Source organism: Homo sapiens, chromosome 4 (assembly GCF_000001405.40).
Source record: "Homo sapiens chromosome 4, GRCh38.p14 Primary Assembly".
NCBI classification, from domain to species: domain Eukaryota; kingdom Metazoa; phylum Chordata; class Mammalia; order Primates; family Hominidae; genus Homo; species Homo sapiens.
Window position 1 is genome coordinate 103,625,356 of NC_000004.12, and position 20,575 is coordinate 103,645,930.

At 35.5% G+C, this 20,575-nt stretch overlaps 1 protein-coding gene across 1 annotated transcript in view; it reads right to left on the minus strand.

Moving 5' to 3' along the window:
• The window catches only part of TACR3 (tachykinin receptor 3), a 133,955-nt gene that overhangs the window by 39,325 nt on the left and 74,055 nt on the right, over window positions 1-20,575 (minus strand). The gene's annotated exons all lie outside the window — the stretch shown is intronic.

The window sequence follows — 20,575 nt, forward strand, 5'->3', positions numbered from 1 at the left end:
AAGATTATGTACAAATGAAAAGGTGAAATAATTTTGAAATGAACTGTTTCCTGTAAGGCAAGGATAGACAAAAGAGAAGTAGAAATGCAAGGGAAAGTGGAAAAAAAACTGCCAAGTAGGGATGAACAAAAGGAGTAAAATATTCAAGTCAGGCCAGCAGAAAAATACTTTCCTCAATTTTCTTTCAGCTAAAGAATAAACGAGTTAGAATGATATGGGAGTAGGGGGTGGGGGGTTGTAATTCTACCTTTATTTAGTAGCACTCTCACTTGCCATGAAACCTGTATCTTCATATTAGAGCAGAATTCATCCTTGGTGCCAGGAAGCTCCCGGAATCTATGAGGTGACTTGGATCAAAGAGATCAATATCTAAAGACTTTAAATAACCTCTGTGTTATCTGCTGAACTATGTCCTCCTAAAATTTTTTTGTTGAAGTCCTAACCCCCAGTACCTTACACTGTGACAGAATTTGAAGATAGGGCCTTTAAAGAGGCAATTCAGGTAAAATGAGATCATACACCTGGTCTGTAATCCAAAAATAACTGTGCTTTTATCAGAAGAGATTAGGACACAGACCTGAAGGGAAGGCCACATGAAGATCCCAGAGGGATGGAGCCTTTTACAAGCCAAGGAGAGAGGCCTCGGGAAAAATCAACCCAGCCTACATTTTGATCTTGGACTTCTAGCCTCCAAGACAGTGGAAAAATAAATGTCTATAGTTTAAGCCACCCAGTCTGTGATACTTTGTTATGGCAGCTCTAACAAACTATCATTTTTACCTTTCCCTCCCTATCACCTCATCACCCTCTAAATCATATGGGACAGATGTGAACTGACGTTTGTATTGTTATTCAACCTAGGTAGATCCATGTTGAGTCATATACATGTGTAATTTACATAGGTGCTTCTGTGGCTGAAATTACTAATCTAATCTGGTATCTTTTACCAATTACATCCATCAGAGAGAGCCTGGTCATATGTCACCTCTGGATCTTAGCTGTCAACCAAAAGGACGCTAAGACAAAAAAGCCTGTCCTTTATGTGGGCTTTTATTATTATTGTTATTTTTTTTTGACGAATTTTTGTGTTTAGGAAAAAGACGTATAGCTGGTGTAACCAGCTAAGGGCCTGGGGCAGAATGGGAGGCTTGCAGGAATGTGTGTCGGTTAGCAAATATGCCATGGAGATTTGCAACACTTAAGCCTGCGTGTAGTCCTTGCTATTCATCATTCTGTTAACTGCACCTCTCTAGTAATTATTTTACATGGCCAGGTAATTTATATTTGATGTTGATAAATATAGTCCTACAAAACATTGAAGTAGTTTTCTCCGGTATGAAAGAAAGCAGGCATTGTGTTTGTTGTTGTTTTCAGTATAGTTTAAGGTTAAGGGAATTTGTAACTTTATAATGAGTAATAAATGCATGGTATAATTTCTTTTTACTGATTAGAATTTTTAGTTTACTGCATACTGTATCAGTAATCTATATAATATAAAGTTTCCAAAGGTCCCTATGTATTGTTTTAATTGTGGTGGGGCCGAGCGCGGTAGCTCACACCCGTTATCCCAGCACTTTGGGAGATTGAGGTGGGCGGATCACGAGGCCAGGAGTTGGAGACCAGCCTGGCCAACATAGCAAAACCCCATCTCTGTGAAAAATAAATAAAAAAAAAAAATTAGCTGGGCGTGGTGGCAGGCACCTGTAGTCCCAGCTCCTTGGGAGGCTGAGGCAGGAGAATCACTTGAACTCAGGAGGCGGAGGTTGCCGTGAGCCGAGATCATGCCATTGCATTCCAGCCCAAGTGACGGTGTGAGACTCCGTCTCAAAAAAAAAAAAAAAAAAAAAAAAAAAAAGTCTAGGTATTAAAGTTGTGCTAATTCTTCCTTGGTGGTTCATACCTGTAATCCCAGCACTTTGAGAAGCCAGGGTGATGGATCACCTGAGGTCAGGAGTACGAGACCAGTCTGGCCAACATGGTGAAACTGTGTTTCCATTAAAAAAAAAAAAAAAAAAAAAAAAAGCTGGGCATGGTGGTGTGCACCTATAATCCTAGCTACTCAGAAGGCTGAGGCATGAGAATCACTTGAACCTGGGCGGCAGAGGTAGCAGTGAGCCAAGACTGCTCCACGGCACTCCAGCCTGGGCGATAGAGCAAGACTCGGTCAAAAAAATAAATAAATAAATAAATTTTTAAAAAAAGTCTTGGTAAAGGGATCAATTCATCAAGAAGAGCTAACTATCCTAAATATATATGCACCCAATACAGGAGCACCCAGATTCATAAAGCAAGTCCTTAGAGACCTACAAAGAGACTTAGACTGCCACACAATAATAATGGGAAACTTTAACACCCCACTGTCAATATTAGACAGATCAACAAGACAGAAGGTTAACAAGGATATCCAGGACTTGAACTCAGCTCTCCACCAAGCGGACCTAATAGACATCTGCATAACTCTCCACCCCCATATCAACAGAATATACATTCTTCTTAGAACCACATCACACTTATTCTAAAACTGACCACATGATTGGAAGTAAAGCACTCCTCAGCAAACGTAAAAGAACAGAAATCACAACAAACTGTCTCTCAGACCACAGTGCAATCAAATCAGAACTCAGGATTAAGAAACTCACTCAAAACTGCACAACTTCATGGAAACTGAACAACTTGCTCCCGAATGACTACTGGGTAAACAATAAAATGAAGGCAGAAATAAAAATGTTCGTTGAAACTAATGAGAAAAAAGACACAAGGTACCAGAATCTCTGGGACACATTTGAAGCAGTGTGTAGAGGGAAATTTACAGCACTAAATGCCCACAAGAGAAAGCAGGAAAGACCTAAAATCAACACCCTAACATTACAATTAAAAGAACCAGAGAAGCAAGAGCAAACACATTCAAAAGCTAGCAGAAGGCAAGAAATCACTAAGATCAGAGCAGACCTGAAGGAGATAGAGACACAAAAAACCCTTCAAAAAATCAATGAATCCAGGAGCTGGTTTTTTGAAAAGATCAACAAAATTGATGATAGACTGCTAGCAAGACTAATAAAGAAGAAAAGGGAGAGGAATCAAATATACACAATAAAAAATGATAAAGGGGATATCACCACTGATCCCACAGAAATACAAACTACCATCAGAGAATACTATAAACAACTCTACACAAATAAACTAGAAAATCTAGAAGAAATGGATAAATTCCTGGACACATACACCCTCCCAACACTAAACCAGGAAGAAGTCAAATCTCTGAATAGACCAATAACAGGCTCTGAAATTGAGGCAATAATTAATAGCCCACCAACCAAAAAAATCCAGGACCAGATAGATTCACAGCTGAATTCTACCAGAGGTACAAGGAGGAGCTGGTACCATTCCTTGTGAAACTATTCCAATCAATAGAAAAAGAGGGAATCCTCCCTAACTCATTTTATGAGGCAAGCATCATCCTGATACCAAAGCCTGGCAGAGATAAAAAGAATTTTAGATCAATATCCCTGATGAACATCAATGCAAAAATCCTCAATAAAATACTGACAAACTGAATCCAGCAGCACATCAAAAAGCTTAACCACCACAATCAAGTCAGCTTCATCCCTGGGATGCAAGGCTGGTTCAACAGACACAAATCAATAAATGTAATCCATCGTATACACAGAACCAATGACAAAAACCACATGATTATCTCAACAGATGCACAAAAGGCCTTTGACAAAATTCAACAGCCCTTCATGCTAAAAACTCTCAATAAACTAGGTATTGATGGAATGTATCTCAAAATAATCAGAGCTATTTATGACAAACCCACAGCCAATATCATACTGAATGGGCAAAAACTGGAAGCATTCCCTTTGAAAACTGGCACAAGACAAGGATGCCCTCTCTCAACACTCCTATTCAACATAGTGTTGGAAGTTCTGGACAGGGCAATCAGGCAGGAGAAAGAAATAAAGGGTATTCAATTAGGAAAAGAGGAAGCCAAATTGTCCCTGTTTTCAGATGACATGATTGTATATCTAGAAAACCCCATTGTCTCAGCCCAAAATCTCCTCAAGCTGATAAGCAACTTCAGCAAAGTCTCAGGATACAAAATCAATGTGCAAAAATCACAAGCATTCTTATACACCAATAGCAGACAAACAGAGATCCAAATCATGAGTGAACTCCCATTCACAATTGCTACAAAGAGAATAAAATACCTGGGAATCCAACTTACAAGGGATGTGGAGGACCTCTTCAAGGAGAACTACAAACCACTGCTCAATGAAATAAAAGAGTACACAAACAAATGGAAGAACATTCCATGCTCATGGGTAGGAAGAATTAATATCGTGAAAATGGCCATACTGCCCAAGGTAATTTACAGATTCAATGCCATCCCCATCAAGCTACCAATGACTTTCTTCACAGAATTGGAATAAACTACTTTATAGTTCATATGGAACCAAAAAAGAGCCCACATTGCCAAGACAATCCTAAGCAAAACAAAAAAAAAACAAAAAAAAAACAAAAAAAACAACAACAACAACAAAAAAAAACAAAGCTGGAGGCATCACGCTACTTGACTTCAAACTATACTACAAGGCTACCATAGCCAAAACAGCATGGTACTGGTACCAAAACAGAGATATAGACCAATGGTACAGAATAGAGCCCTCAGAAATAACACCGCACATCTACAACCATCTGTTCTTTGACAAACCTGACAAAAACAAGAAATGGAGAAAGGATTCCCTATTTAATAAATGGTGCTGGGGAAACTGGCTGCCCTATGAAGAAAACTGAAACTGGATCCCTTCCTTACACCTTATACAAAAATTAATTCAAATGGATTAAAGACTTAAATGTTAGACCTAAAACCATAAAAACCCTAGAATAAAACCTAGGCAATACCATTCAGGACATAGGCATGGGCAAGGACTTCATGAATAAAACACCAAAAGCAATGGCAACAAAAGCCAAAATTGACAAATGGGATCTAATTAAACTAAAGAGCTTCTGTACAGCAAAAGAAACTACCATCAGAGTGAATAGGCAACTTACAGAGTGTGAGAAAATCTTTGCAATCTACCTATCTAACAAACGGCTAATATCCAGAATCTACAAAGAACTCAAATTTACAAGAATAAAACAACCCCATCAAAAAGTGGGCAAGGGATATGAACAGACACTTCTCAAAAGAAGACATTTATGCAGCCAACAGACACATGAAAAAATGCTCATCATCACTGGTCATCAGAGAAATGCAAATCACAACCACAATGAGATACCATCTCATGGCAGTTAGAATGGTGATCGTTAAAAAGTCAGGAAACAACAGATGCTGGAGGAGATGTGGAGAAATGGGAATGCTTTTACACTGTTGGTGGGAGTGTAAATTAGTTCAACCATTGTGGAAGACAGTGTGGTGATTCCTCAAGTATCTAGAACTAGAAAAACCATTGACCCAGCCATCCCATTACTGGGTATATACCCAAAGGATTATAAATCATGCTACTATAAAGACACACACACACGTGTGTTTATCGTGGCACTATTCACAATAGCAAAGACTTGGAACCAACCCAAATGTCCATCAATGATAGACTGGATTAAGAAAATGTGGCACATATACACATGGAATACAATGCAGCCATAAAAAGATGAGTTCATGTCCTTTGCAGGGACATGGATGAAGCTGGAAACCATCATTCTCAGCAAACTATCACAAGGACCAAAAACCAAACACGGCATGTTCTCACTCATAGGTGGGAATTGAACGATGAGAACACTGGGACACAGGGCAGGGAACATCACACATGGGGGCCTGTCGGGGTGTGGGTGGCTGGAGGAGGGATAGCACTTGGAGAAATACCTAATGTAAATGACGAGTTGATGAGTGCAGCAAACCAACATGATACATGTATACCTGTGTATCAACACTGCACGTTGCACACATGTACCCTAGAACTTAAAGTATAATAAAAAAATGAATAATAAATGCATGGTATAGTTCCTTTTTACTGATTAGAATTTTTGGTTTACTGCATACTATATCAATAATGTATATAATAAAAAGCTTCCTATGTATTATTTTACTTATGGCAGAGCACATAAATATTTATTAAAATATTTAGTGAGCTATGGAAACTTTCCAGAAAAGTTTAATTCATTTAGCAGTAAGATGAATAGGCCTTACTTTCAGTCCTGAGGGAATTAATATAGTCCTGAAAACATGAACTTTGTCTGGAAGATTCAGATTATAATCTTTCCTTTGTGTGTTGGGACTGAGCTGAGTACCGTGTTGGAAATTAGGAAGCCTAAAGTCCACAATTGGCTCTCCCTGTTTATAACAATTCTGACCTTAAGCAAGTCACATCACATGACTGTAGATTCTCTCATCTATAAAATGAGAAGGTAGTTGATTCACAAAACTCCATCCATCTGGCATTATGCTAGGCACTGAGAAGACAATGGTGAGTAAAGCACTGCTCTTGATCAGTGTTCTTTAATAGAGCCTAGAATTTGCTTGTGATAAAATACTTTCCTTTTTCTAACCAAGTATCATTTCAATTCAACCTATTTTTGATTTATCTTGTTCTTTCCTCTATTTTTTAAGTCTAATAGCTGTGCGAGCTTATTGTTACATGGGGTCTAATTGTAAACTAAAGAATCATACATGGTTATTACATAATGTTATTATTTACTAAAGTGAATACTCCAAATATTCACAAATAGCCTAGTTAAAACTATTTAACTGTATATTAAAAACAACTCAATCAAGATAAAATAGGGAAACATGGACAACATTTAGAAATGCGCATTCGTCTTAGGAGAGGGAAAAGACAATAATGTTTGTGTGAATTTGGCTTACCAGATGAGACAGAAAACATTGAAACAAATTCTGATAGAAATCTTGTCATTATACATGGAACCAACCCAAATGCCCATCAATGATAGGCTGAATAAAGAAAATGTGGTACCTATACCTCCTGGAATACTATGCAGCCACAAAGAGAAATGAGATCATGTCCTTTGCAGGGACATGGTTGAAGCTGGAAGCCATCATGCTCAGCAAACTAACACAGGAACAGAAAATCAAACATCACATGATCTCTTTCACTTATAAGAGAGAGTTGAATATTGAGAACACATGGACACAGGAAGGAGAACAACATACAGCAGGGTCTGTTGGTGGGTGGGGGGTGAGGGGAGGGAACTTAGAGGATGGGTCAATAGGTGCAGCAAACCACCATGGCACACGTATACCTAGGTAACAAACCTGCACGTTCTGCACATGTATCCTGTTTTTTTTTTTTGAAGAAATAAAGAAAAAGAAATATTGTCATTTTATAAAGTGCACTGAAAGCTGGATGAAAGCTTATGAAGAAAGAATAAATCAATACATTGAAGAGCAAAGACCAATCTATTTCCAGAAAAGTGAATCTGTACAGAAAGGCAGAAGATCATTTTAGCATTAAATATAAAATCTAACAGTGCCTTGTAAATGTAGCCACAATATTCATAATCAAAGGGGGCAAGATAACTCTAAGTGACATGGACAACAGAACTAGAGGGATATAATTTATAGAAGGAAGAATAAATTTGTTCTCTTAAAACTTACATAGTGAGTACATATTGTAAAAAAAAGATTAAAAAGTGTTAGTATGATGATATTATTATATTATTAATTATTTTCCTGACATCTTTTTGTCCCTCTTACTGACATTAACTACAATGCAGTTCCTAGACCTTAGTGTTAGACTGGGTTCCAAACTAGATTCCTCTGCTTTCTGGACACACCCTCTAAGCCTTAGTTATATCATCAGATAGCTAACTATAATAATACCTTTTAGTGTTGATGACACTACTAAATGAGATAATGTATGTGACTAACAATGCTTAAATATGTGGTCTTATTATAATTAAAAGTAATTTACTAAATAAAGAAATATTGAGCATCTGAAAGAAATGCATGTAGATTTTGTAATCCTAAGGGCTAAATGAATAAAGTAACAGAGCCCCATGAGGTAGCTTATTTGCTGCAAATCAATTTATTTTATTATTATTTTAAATTTTATTTTTCCATAAGTTATTGGGGTACAGGTGGTATTTGGTTACATAAGTAAATTCTTTAGTGGAGATTTGTGAGACCCTGGTGCACCCATCACCCAAGCAGTATACACTGCACCCTATTTGTTGTCCTGATCCCTCAACCCTCCCACTCTTCCCCACAAGTCCCCAAAGTCCACTGTACCATTTTTATGACTTTGTGTCCTCATAGCTTAGCTCCCACAATCAGTGAGAACATAAAATGTTTGGTTTTCCATTCCTGAATTATTTCACTTAGAATAATAGTCTCTAACCTTATCCAGGTCATTGCAATTTAAATGAGCTAATTTCTATTTTCAGTTGAATCGTTTAAAAAATAGCCAGGTGTTTTCCTGAGCCCATTGTCTTGGGGTTTAATTCCTCCATAGGTTTGTTGCATTTGTTCTGTTTTATGACCACAGATATTCCTAACTTTAGTTAGTTCTTTTTTTAAAAAAAGCAAGTCTTTCAAAATAGAAGCTGAAGAAAGTACATAAATATGAGTCAGAACCAATCGACCTATCACCATGTGAAATAAGCACCTAGAAATTCATCTTCTGCTCACAAAAGGTCGGAAGCTAAAAGATTACACATGGTTATAAATACAAGCTGGTTATACTTCTAATGCAAAACTAAATAGGACTAGAAGGCAGATGGCATTAACCCTTTTACTTTTGAGAGCACAAAAACCACTGCATGAACTGTTAGTCATTAATTCACTTTTTTCCCAAAGGATATTTTATTAATCTGTTATTAACAGTAACCTCTAATGAAGAGGAACAATGATATCAATGGAATTTTCTGCATTGCTTAAAAATCTTTCTTTTACTGAATTAGAAATAAAAACTTCAAATGAGATAAATGTAAACAGAAGCCAATAGTTCTGGCAAAATGATTTTTCTCTTCTCGTCTGACTTGGCCTCCAGGAGGTTGGGGGAATGAGATTGGGAGGAAGAAACATAAACAGTGAGAAGAGAAATGTGTGCTCATGATACCCAGTAGGTGGTGCAGCTATACTAGCTATAATTTTGCTATTTAAAGGGCATGATAGAATGCTGTTCTCTTCATGAACATTTATAATCAGAGTAACAGAATGCATTGATATGAATCTCTGTTCATAAATGACCATCAGTTGTCATCTTCATCAGCATAAACTGTAAAGTACCTCTTGCTGCATATGAACTATTTCACCTTGCTGGATTTTCCTAAAGTGAATTTAACTTCTTCAACAATTGCTGGATTTTCGCACAGAAATTTGTTTCTATTTTCTGTCAATAGCGTCCTCATTTTCTTAGCAATTAATCTTAAAACAGAACTTTTTCACTTCCAGTCTCTCAGTATCCATAGCTAATAGAGTTACCCAACTCTGGTGATTATTTTAAAAGGTTTTCACATTTATCCCTTTCCATTTCACCTTTAGTTTCTCTAGCTTCAACTTCCTTATTTGCTTATGCATCTCTCAAGTAAGATAACACCTTTTCTATCTAATCCAGAGCATTGTTGGGAGTGTAAAATAAAATAATGTGTAGGCTGTGCTACAAAAGGTTTTAGAGTTGGGAATTTTTTTAATCAAAGATTCTGAGCTAGTTTCAGTCTCCATATAGCTTGCTTGCCTCACCATTTGATGTGCTGGGTCTGCGCATACAAGTATATTACCTACATTATATATGCACACATATATGCATATTTATATGAGTAATAGAGACAAAACTACTACATATAAACATGACATTGTACTATAAGTATGATTTAATACTCTCAGTATCAATGATTTATCTCCCACTAAAACATTTGCCTAAATGTAGATCAAAGTGCATATATTTTTTCTTTCTGACAACTAGATAGGGCTAAGGGTTGAAGAGGAAGGAATGAGGTGGAACAATGACTGAGATTGAAGAGAAAGAATATAGCGACTGGAGTCTTATCAACTGAAAGAAGAACTTTCATTTTTGAGGGGAGAGGTCTCCATGCTAAACTGAACTTAGGTGTGCATCTTCCCACCCCTACCCCTGTGCAAAACATAACTTGCAGACAACTCAGAGCCTAATCATGAAGGATTCTTCTAAGCCTTCCCATGCTTAATATAAAGTGGGTTGCTTTGGTGACTTGCTTAACGTCAATGGTGTGACGGAAAACTTTGGCTCTAACCAAAATCAAGTGCACAGAACCCACTAAGAATTTTTTGTGAGCTTAGCCAACTAATATTTATGCTTGAAATATAAACCCTTTTGTAAGATTTAAATAAAATCACTTGTGCACAATGCCTGGTACACATTAGATGTTGAGTAAATATTTGATGAATCTCAATCATTGATGTCTATAATTGGAAGAGAATTTAGAGGTAGCTCTTATTATTTTATGAATAAGTTAATGAGCCTAGAAAACAATGATCCTACCAACATATTACTGAATCAGTACCAGTCTAGCAACCAGCAGTCCTGAATTTCAATTCTCTTTCCATTGTATTGTAAACTTTTCCTTTCTTTTGCTTTGTATCATCACTCTCCTTTCTAACACAGTCTCTCTCTCTTTCTCCCCCTCCCTCGTCCTTCTTCCTCTCTCATAGGCACACACAAAACTTTGTGCTCATTTGGCTTAAGAATCCAGAATTTCTCAAAAATAAACAGCTAAATTTATGTAGGTTTACTAAATTTAACAATGTATTTAGAGTTGCTTTCATTGCAATAAAACCATTAATTACTCTCAGTATGCTTTAGGTTAATTAACTAAGGAGAATTTGTTAAGGGAGTTTATGTATTGTTTTAGTATGTAGCAAAAGGAGCTGTTGAATGCTAGAAAACAAACCCATCTGAACTAAAAAACACAAAATACTATGTATTGAGCAGATATACAATTTTTAATCAATCAAAACACAGATTTTACCTCAGTGCATCTCACTTTGGTAAGTATGTGCAGTCCCAGCTTCATGAGTTTTTTTCTGAGAATTAATTTTTAAGTTGACTCTGGTACTTAGATGAATTTTGATTGCTGATATTGGAAAATATTTTCTTCTCAGAAATGATGTTATACATTTTGGTTGGCTTACCACACAAAAGCCTTTTATCTCATAATACGTAAATAATACAATAATACAATTCAGTGGTACTGGTAACACATTCAAAAGCTAGCAGAAGGCAAGAAATAACTAAGATCAGAGCAGAACTGAAGGAAATAGAGACACAAAAAACCCTTCAAAAGATTAATGAATCCAGGAGCTGGTTTTTTGAAAAGATCAACAAAATTGATAGACCGCTAGCAAGACTAATAAAGAAGAAAAGAGAGAAGAATCAAATAGACGCAATAAAAAATGATAAAGGGGATATCATCACCAATCCCACAGAAATATAAACTACCATCAGAGAATACTATAAACACCTGTATGCAAATAAACTAGAAAATCTAGAAGAAATGGATAAATTCCTCGACACATACATCCTCCCAATACTAAACCAGGAAGAACTTGAATCTCTGAATAGACCAATAACAGGCTCTGAAATTGTGGCAATAATCAATAGCTTACCAACCAAAAAAAGTCCAGGACCAGATGGATTCACAGCCGAATTCTACCAGAGGTACAAGGAGGAGCTGGTACCATTCCTTCTGAAACTATTCCAATCAATAGCAAAAGAGGGAATCCTCCCTAACTCATTTTATGAGTCCAGCATCATCCTGATACCAAAGCCAGGCAGAGACACAACCAAAAAAGAGAATTTTAGACCAATATCCTTGATGAACATCGATGCAAAAATCCTCAATAAAATACTGGCAAACTGAATCCAGCAGCAAATCAAAAAGCTTATCCACCATGATCAAGTGGGCTTCATCCCTGGGATGCAAGACTGGTTCAACATACCCAAATCAATAAATGTAATCCAGCATATAAACAGAACCAACGACAAAAACCACGTGATTATCTCAATAGATGCAGGAAAGGCCTTTGACAAAATTCAGCAACCCTTCATGCTAAAAACTCTCAATAAATTAGGTATTGATGGGACGTATCTCAAAATAATAAGAGCTATCTATGACAAACCCACAGCCAATATCATACTGAATGGGCAAAAACTGGAAGCATTCCCTTTGAAAACTGGCACAAGACAAGGATGCCCTCTCTCACCACTCCTATTCAACATAGTGTTGGAAGTTCTGGCCAGGGCAATCAGGCAGGAGAAGGAAATAAAGGGTATTCAGTTAGGAAAAGAGGAAGTCAAATTGTCCCTGTTTGCAGATGACATGAATTGTATATCTAGAAAACCCCATTGTCTCAGCCCAAAATCTCCTTAAGCTGATAAGCAACTTCAGCAGTCTCAGGATACAAAATCAATGTGCAAAAATCACAAGCATTCTTATACACCAATAACAGACAAACAGAGAGCCAAATCATGAGTGAACTCCCTTTCACAATTGCTACAAAGAGAATAAAAAACCTAGGGATCCAACTTACCAGGGATGTGAAGGACCTCTTCAAGGAGAACTACAAACCACTGCTCAATGAAATAAAAGGGGGATACAAACAAATGGAAGAATATTCCATGCTCATGGGTAGGAAGAATCAATATCATAAAAAAGGCCATACTGCCAAAGGTAATTTACAGATTCAATGCCATACCCATGAAGCTACCAATGACTTTCTTCACAGAATTGGAAAAAACTACTTTAAAGTTCATATGGAACCAAAAGAGAGCCCACATCGCCAAGTCAATCCTAAGCCAAAAGAACAAAGCTGGAGGCATCACACTACCTGACTTCAAACTATACTACAAGGCTACAGTAACCAAAACAGCATGGTACTGGTACCAAAACAGAGATATAGACCAATGGAACAGAACAGAGCCCTCAGAAATAATGCCACATATCTACAACTATCTGATCTTTGACAAACCTGACAAAAACAAGAAATGGGGAAAGGATTCCCTATTTAATCAATGGTGCTGGGAAAACTGGCTAGCCATATGTAGAAAGCTGAAACTGGATCCCTTCCTTACACCTTATACAAAAATTAATTCAAGATGGATTAAAGACTTACATGTTCGACCTAAAACCATAAAAACCCTAGAAGAAAACCTAGGCGATACCATTCAGGACATAGGCATGGGCAAGGACTTCATGTCTAAAACACCAAAAGCAATGGCAACAAAACCCAAAATTGACAAATGGGATCTAATTAAACCAAAAAGCTTCTACACAGCAAAAGAAACTACCATCAGAGTGAACAGACAACCTACAGAATGGGAGAAAATTTTTGCAACCTACTTATCTGACAAAGGGCTACTATCCAGAATCTACAATGAACTCAAACAAATTTACAAGAAAAAACAAACAACCCCATCAAAAAGTGGGCAAAGGATATGAACAGACACTTCTCAAAAGAAGACATTTATGCAGCCAAAAAACACATGAAAAAATGCTCATCATCACTGGCCATCAGAGAAATGCAACTCAAAACCACAATGAGATACCATCTCACACCAGTTAGAATGGCGATCATTAAAAAGTCAGGAAACTACAGGTGCTGGAGAGGATGTGGGGAAATAGGAACACTTTTACACTGTTGGTGGGACTGTAAACTAGTTCAACCATTGTGGAAGTCGGTGTGGTGATTCCTCAGGGATCTAGAGCTAGAAATACCATTTGACCCAGCCATCCCATTACTGGGTATATACCCAAAGGATTATAAATCATGCTGCTATAAAGACACATGCACACGTATGTTTATTGCGGCACTATTCACAATAGCAAAGACTTGGAACTAACCCAAATGTCCAACAACGATAGACTGGATTAAGAAACTGTGGCACATATACACCATGGAATACTATGCAGCCATAAAAAAATGATGTGTTCATGTCCTTTGTAGTGACATGGATGAAACTGGAAACCATCATTCTCAGCAAACTATCGCCAGGACAAAAAACCAAACACTGCATGTTCTCACTCATAGGTGGGAGTTGAACAATGAGAACACATGGACACAGGAAGGGGAACATCACACACCAGGGACTGTTGTGGGGTGGGGAGAGGGGGGAGGGATAGCATTGGAAGATATACCTAGTGCTAAATGACGAGTTAATGGGTGCAGCACACCAACATGGCACATGTATACATATGTAACAAACCTGCACGTTGTGCACATGTACCCTAAAACTTAAAGTATAATAATAAAATAAAATGAAAAAAAGAAAAATCAGTTGACCACAAAAAAATGTAAAGAAATACTTTTATTTATTGTTTCCTTCTTAAGTACAGAAATAATCAGTATAATACAGAGAGAAAGAACACATTCTCTAGAATCAGACTTTCTGGGTTCAAATCCTGACTCTATTGTTAAATAAAATAGGCAAGTTACTCAACCCTTCTAGTTACTTCTTTATCTGTAAAATGAAAATAACAGTGATGTCTTCCTTATGCAGTTATAAGGATTCAATGTCTAATGTATCTAAACAACCTAAGTAAGCTGTATGGCACATAATAAGCACCAATCAATGCTAGCTGTGTTTCTAGACCTATCATAAGCATTATCTTTTAATTAATAATCATAATTAGGTTTATATTTGTTTCATGAATAGGGCAAAGTAAGTGAAGATTGGATTTGCATATTTATGAGCATTAGGAACTAGAGACTTTGACATATATATTACCTAGATTAACCCTCATCAAAACATTGCAAGAAAAATATTATTTTAGTATTTTATAAATAAGAAAATGAAAGGTGAGATATCAAGATGTAGTAGACCAGTAACTGGCAATGCAAGAATCAAACCATGCTGTCTGACTCTGTAGTTTATGTTTGTCCCCATTATAAAATATTGCAAAGATATGTATGTATATGTGCTGTGTTACACACAATATCATAAATGCAAGAAATTTAAAAAGGCTTTTTTTGGCAAAGGAAATCTTACTTGTGGCAAAATTCAGTTGAAATAATCCTAACCTTGTAATAAGAATCAAGAATAGAGAAAAAATGCACTTCCCTAATGATTAGTGATGTAGAGAGTTTTTTTTCACATATTTGTTGGCCATTTGTATACTTTCATTTGAGAAATGTCTGTTTAGTTCTTTTGCCCATTTTAAAATCAAGTTACTTGTTTTCTTGTTGTTGGTTTGTTTGAATTCCTTATGTATTTTGGATACTAACCTCTTATAAGATGTATGGTTTACAAATTTTTTCTCCTAATCCATTCATTGTATCTTTACTCTATTGCAAGCTTGTCCAACCCGTGGCCCACAGGCTGCATGTGGCCCAGGATGGCTTTGAATGTGGCCCAACACAAATTCATAAATTTTTGTAAAACGTTATGAGATTTTTTTTTACGATTTTTTTTCTTTTAGCTCATCAGCTATCATTAGTGTTAGTATATTTTATGTGTGGCCCAAGACAATTCTTTTTCTTCCAGTGTGGCACAGGGAAGCCAAAGGATTGGACACCCCTGCTCTATAGATTGTTTTCTTTGCCATGCAGAAGATTTTAGTTTAATGCAATCTTGTTTGTCTATTTTGCTTTTGTTGCCAGTGCTTTGAGGCTAAACCCAAAAAAATAATTATTCAGACAAATGTCATAAAGCTTTCCCCTTATTTTTTCTTCTAGTAGTTTTATAGTTTCAAGGCTTACATTTAAGTATTTAATCCATTTTGAGTTGATTTTTATATACTATGATTTAAGGGTTCAATTTTATTCTTCTGCATGTGTATACCCAAGGTCCCTCAACACGATTTATTGCACATACTGTTCTTTTTCAATTATGTGTTCTTGGTACCTTTGTTAATATCAATTTATTGTAAATGTGTGGGTTCATTTCTGGGCTCACTGTTCTGTTTCATTGGCCTAGGTGTTTTTTAAAAAAATTCCAGTACCATACCATTTTGATTACTATAGTTTTGTAAGATATTTTAAAATAAGATAGTGTGATACCTTTAGATTGTTCTTTTGATATATGAAAAAATGTTCAACAGTACTAATCATGAGGGAAATTCAAATTAAAACCGCAATGATATATTACCTCACACCTGTTAGAATGGCTATTTAAAAAATGGAAGATAAGTGTTGGCAAGAATGTGGAGAAAAGGGAACCCTTCCTTGTACACTGTTGTTGGGAATGTAAATTAGTACAGCCATTGCGTAAAACAGTATGAAGGTTACTCAGAAAGCTAAAAATTAAACAAGTATTATCTGATTCAGCAATCTCACTTCTGTATACATACCCAAAGGAATTGAAATGAGTATATCAAAAGATATCTGCAATTCCCAGTTTATTGCAACATTATTCACAATAGCCAAGATATGTAATCAACCTATGTATACATCAGTGGATGAATGGATAAAAAACGTGGCATATACACACAATGAAATACTAGTCAGCCTTTAAAAAGAAGGAGATTCTGCCATTTGCAATAACATGGATGAACCTGAAGGACATTATGCTAAGTTATATAAGCCAGGCACAGAAAGGCAAATACTTCATAATCTCACTTACATGCATAATCTAAAAAATGTCAAACTAATAGAAGTAGAGAGTAGAATGGTGGTTACCAGAGGTGATGTTGGGAGGGAATGGGAGATGTTGATCAAAGGGTACATTTCAGTTAGACAGGTGATACTATAAGTTTTCAAGGTCTACTGAACAGCATGATGACTATAGTTAATAACAATGTATTGTGTATTTTGAAATTGCTAAGAGAATAAATTTCAAATGTTCTCACAACAAAAAAAGATAAATATGTGAGGTGATGGATATGTTAATTAGCTTGATTCCATCATCCAAAAATATGGATATACATATTTATATATATATATAATCACATTGTATATATATAATCACATCATATATAATCACATTGTACCTCATAAGTGTATAAAATTATTATTTGTCAATTTTAAAAAGGAAGAGAATACAATTATTATTTGTCAATTAAAAAATGAGTAAAAATAGAAAAAATGTTGCTTTTTTAAATTGGCAAATTATTATTATTTGTCTATTATAAAAAGAAAACATCAAATACTGAAGAAAACGTGGTATATCCACAAGAGAATATTGTTTCAGCCATTAAAAAAGAATGAAATCCTGTCATTTGCAGCAACATAGATGGAACTGGAGGACATTATGCTAAGTGAAATAAGCCAGGCACAGAAAGACAAATAATGCATGTACTCACTCATATGTGGGAACTATATGAAAATTGATCTCACGGAAGTACAGAGTAGAACGGTGATTACCAGAGGCTGGGAAGGGTAGGGTGGAGGGGAGTTAAGGAGAGGTTGGTTAATGGATACGTACATACAGGTAGATATAAGGAATACATTCCAGTGTTTAATAACAGTAGGGTGACTAGGATAAAATATGCAACAGTAATTTATTGCATATTTTAAAATAGCTGTAAGAAAGATTTGGAATGCTCCCAACATAAAGGTATAATAATTTTTGAGCTGATGGATATACTAATTACCCTAATTAGATTACTATGTATTGTGTTCGTGTATCAAAATATCACATGTACCCCCAAAATATGTACAATAATTATGTATCAATATGAAATTTCAAAAAGGCAAGTGAATTTCTATGTTTGTTAAAATTAATGGCACTTTCTGATTGTATTCATGTCTTACTACATTATCACAATAAATGGGAGTAAACACAGGTTTTGTAATAACTACTGGATTTGCTTTATTGTTTTTATGCCTTTTTAGAGCAGTGCTGACTAATATGATAGCCACTTCTACATGTGGCTATTTAAATTTAAACTTACATAACTAGAATAAAATAAAATAAACTTATTCATTTGTTTGTATTAGCCATACTTCAAGTGTTAAATAGCTACCTGTGGTTAGTGGCTACTGTGTTGGATAGTTCAGATATGGAACATTTCTATCATTGAAAAACTTTTTATTGGACAGCACTGTTCTAGAGTAAATCAGGATGTAGAATGGAATGATAAGCAGGAAATTTCAGTAGGGGGGAGATTGCCAGTCTGGCGACAGAGTGAGACATTGTCTAAAAAAAAGAGAGAGAGAGAGAGAGAGAGAGAGATACAGATTGCCTAAGGGTAGCTACCAATTCTTTGCAGTTCAAAGTAGTAGAAATAACAGTTGTTTTGCATTCTGTAGGAATGAACTCTACTTGCACTACCTGTCAGTTTGGGCAACATTCACCTTCCCAGAGCTTCAGTTTTTTGATTTGTTAAATGAGGGATAACAATTTCTACCAGGCCTCACTTCCAGGATTTTTGTGAGGATGAGTACAACGATATATGTCAAAGCTCTATATAATGATTGTATAAAATCTATAATAATTGATATAATTCTCAGTTGTGTGTGTGCCTGTGTGTATGTTTCATGAAGTATTGATAATGATGGCAATTGTTATAGATTTCATATGCTGAGCTTCATTTTCCTGCTAGAAATTCATGATGCCTGAACATGATTCCATCTCTCCTGAATTTGTACTTGCAGAATGAGTAGTATTAACAGATAACCCATAGAGAACCTTTTTCAGATGATTGCCAAACACTGAAAGGCTTTAGATATTTCCTCCTAATGTTTATCTTTTCTTATCTTTTTAAAAAAGAATAATCATTTCCACTTCTTCAGTACTACTGGAAAACCACAAAAAAAAATAAAAACTTTTCTAGGCCTTTCAAAGTGTTTCACATTTACTGCCACACATAGAGAGCAGGATTTACTGCCACACATAGAGAGCAGGAGGAATATTTAATCAAAGGGTTTAAAGCATGTGGTATTGGCAATCAATGTACAACTCAGATATAGAAGGCTCTCCTGATTGCAAGTCGTACCATGAGGTGGGGTAGATAAAGTTACTAGAATTAGCAAAGAGCTATTAGTTTTCTTTAAGCTTCACTGTTTCAATTAGAAACAGTAGTTGAATTGTATACATGGTAATATTATACAAGCCCATCAGAAGTTTCAGATGTTTTCTGACTTTGTTTTGTTTTTAGCTATTTTTCTTTTAAGCAAAAGCTTTTAAAGAACAAATTGCGTACATTTTCAGCATACACTGCTGGGTTAAAATATTTATATAATTTCAGAATGATATGAGATAGATACAGTCTAATGATATTCATTGATTCATCGGTCAAAATAAAAACTTTTCTCAAAATATCTGAATGAAAAATAATTGGTAAATAATCATGAATTTCTATATAAAATTCCTACAATATTTTTCTTTTTTGGGAAGATATTTCATAATACATAACAGAAATTTAAAAATTTTTTTCTAGTTCCTGACTTTCATTTCCCTAGAAAACTTACTATTAAAATGTTAGTTTTATACCAAGATGATAACATGCCTTTTTAAAAGAAAGTAGAATACATTAGTTTTTAAAAGGAGATATTATGGTTTTATGATTAATAATAATATGAATAACAATATTATTATGACAAATTATTAAGGAAAGATGCATGGAAATAAGTGGAAATGTGTCCTGAAAATGTGGAAATGTGTCCTGAAAATGTAGAAATGAGAGAGGGACACAAAAATAGGTAAACCACAATTGCATTATATATGAGCTTGAACATCTCCATGATATATTAACATTGGAAATCTAAGTCATATGGGTAATTTCAAGGTTTTTTTAAATTACAACAAAGTACATAAAGATAAATAAATTGGCATGGAAAAAGAGTCAGACAAAAGTTCCAGTCTTTTCACAAAGCCAGCATTTTAGCAGTTTCTCAATTACCCTGAACATTTACTACTGCTGATACTGCACAATGAGCTGTCTCTTAGAAAAATGTGAAAATGTGTACATATTGTACATATTGTTATATTGATCACTAAGCAGGGTAGTAAAGGAAGACAATTGGTAAGCAGAAGTTCAGATTAATAGTATAAAATATGATGTAAATATTAAAACACAGGGAAGGAAATGTGCTATCAAATTCTTGATTCAGCTTGCTATACTGGATATTCTCCAAGAGTAAGAGATTTAGTTTATAGGCTAAATCTAAGAATGGAAAAATGGAAAATTACTCCATTTCCTCTGTGGCTGTTGCTGCTGTTGTCACTTTGGTGAAATGTATAGCCACAGGAAATTTGACATTTATATTTCTTGTTACAATTAATGCACAAAAAACTATAGAAAACCTTAGGACACTTAGAAACTGATTTTATCTTTAATGTAATTATCTTAACTATAAATCTTGACAAAATCTACAGCCATCTGAACAAATTCTTAATTAAAAGAAAAAAGGAGAATCAGACATTAATGTCAGGAAATGAGTTCTGCACCCAAGTTGAGATTCTTTATTTTGGAAAAGATACACAATGGTAGGAGAAAAGGCAAATATCCATATGAACTAAATGCCTCTTGTGTAAAAGATACAGTGCTAGGCTCTAGAACCACAATTTTAATTCCAAAAGATCCCTACATACAATCTTATTTAAACCTCCACAATTTTCAGCAAACGGAGCATAATAAAGTTAAATATATGTGACCAAGATTACTCCTAGATAGGGCAAGAACTGGAATACAAGGATCTTTCACA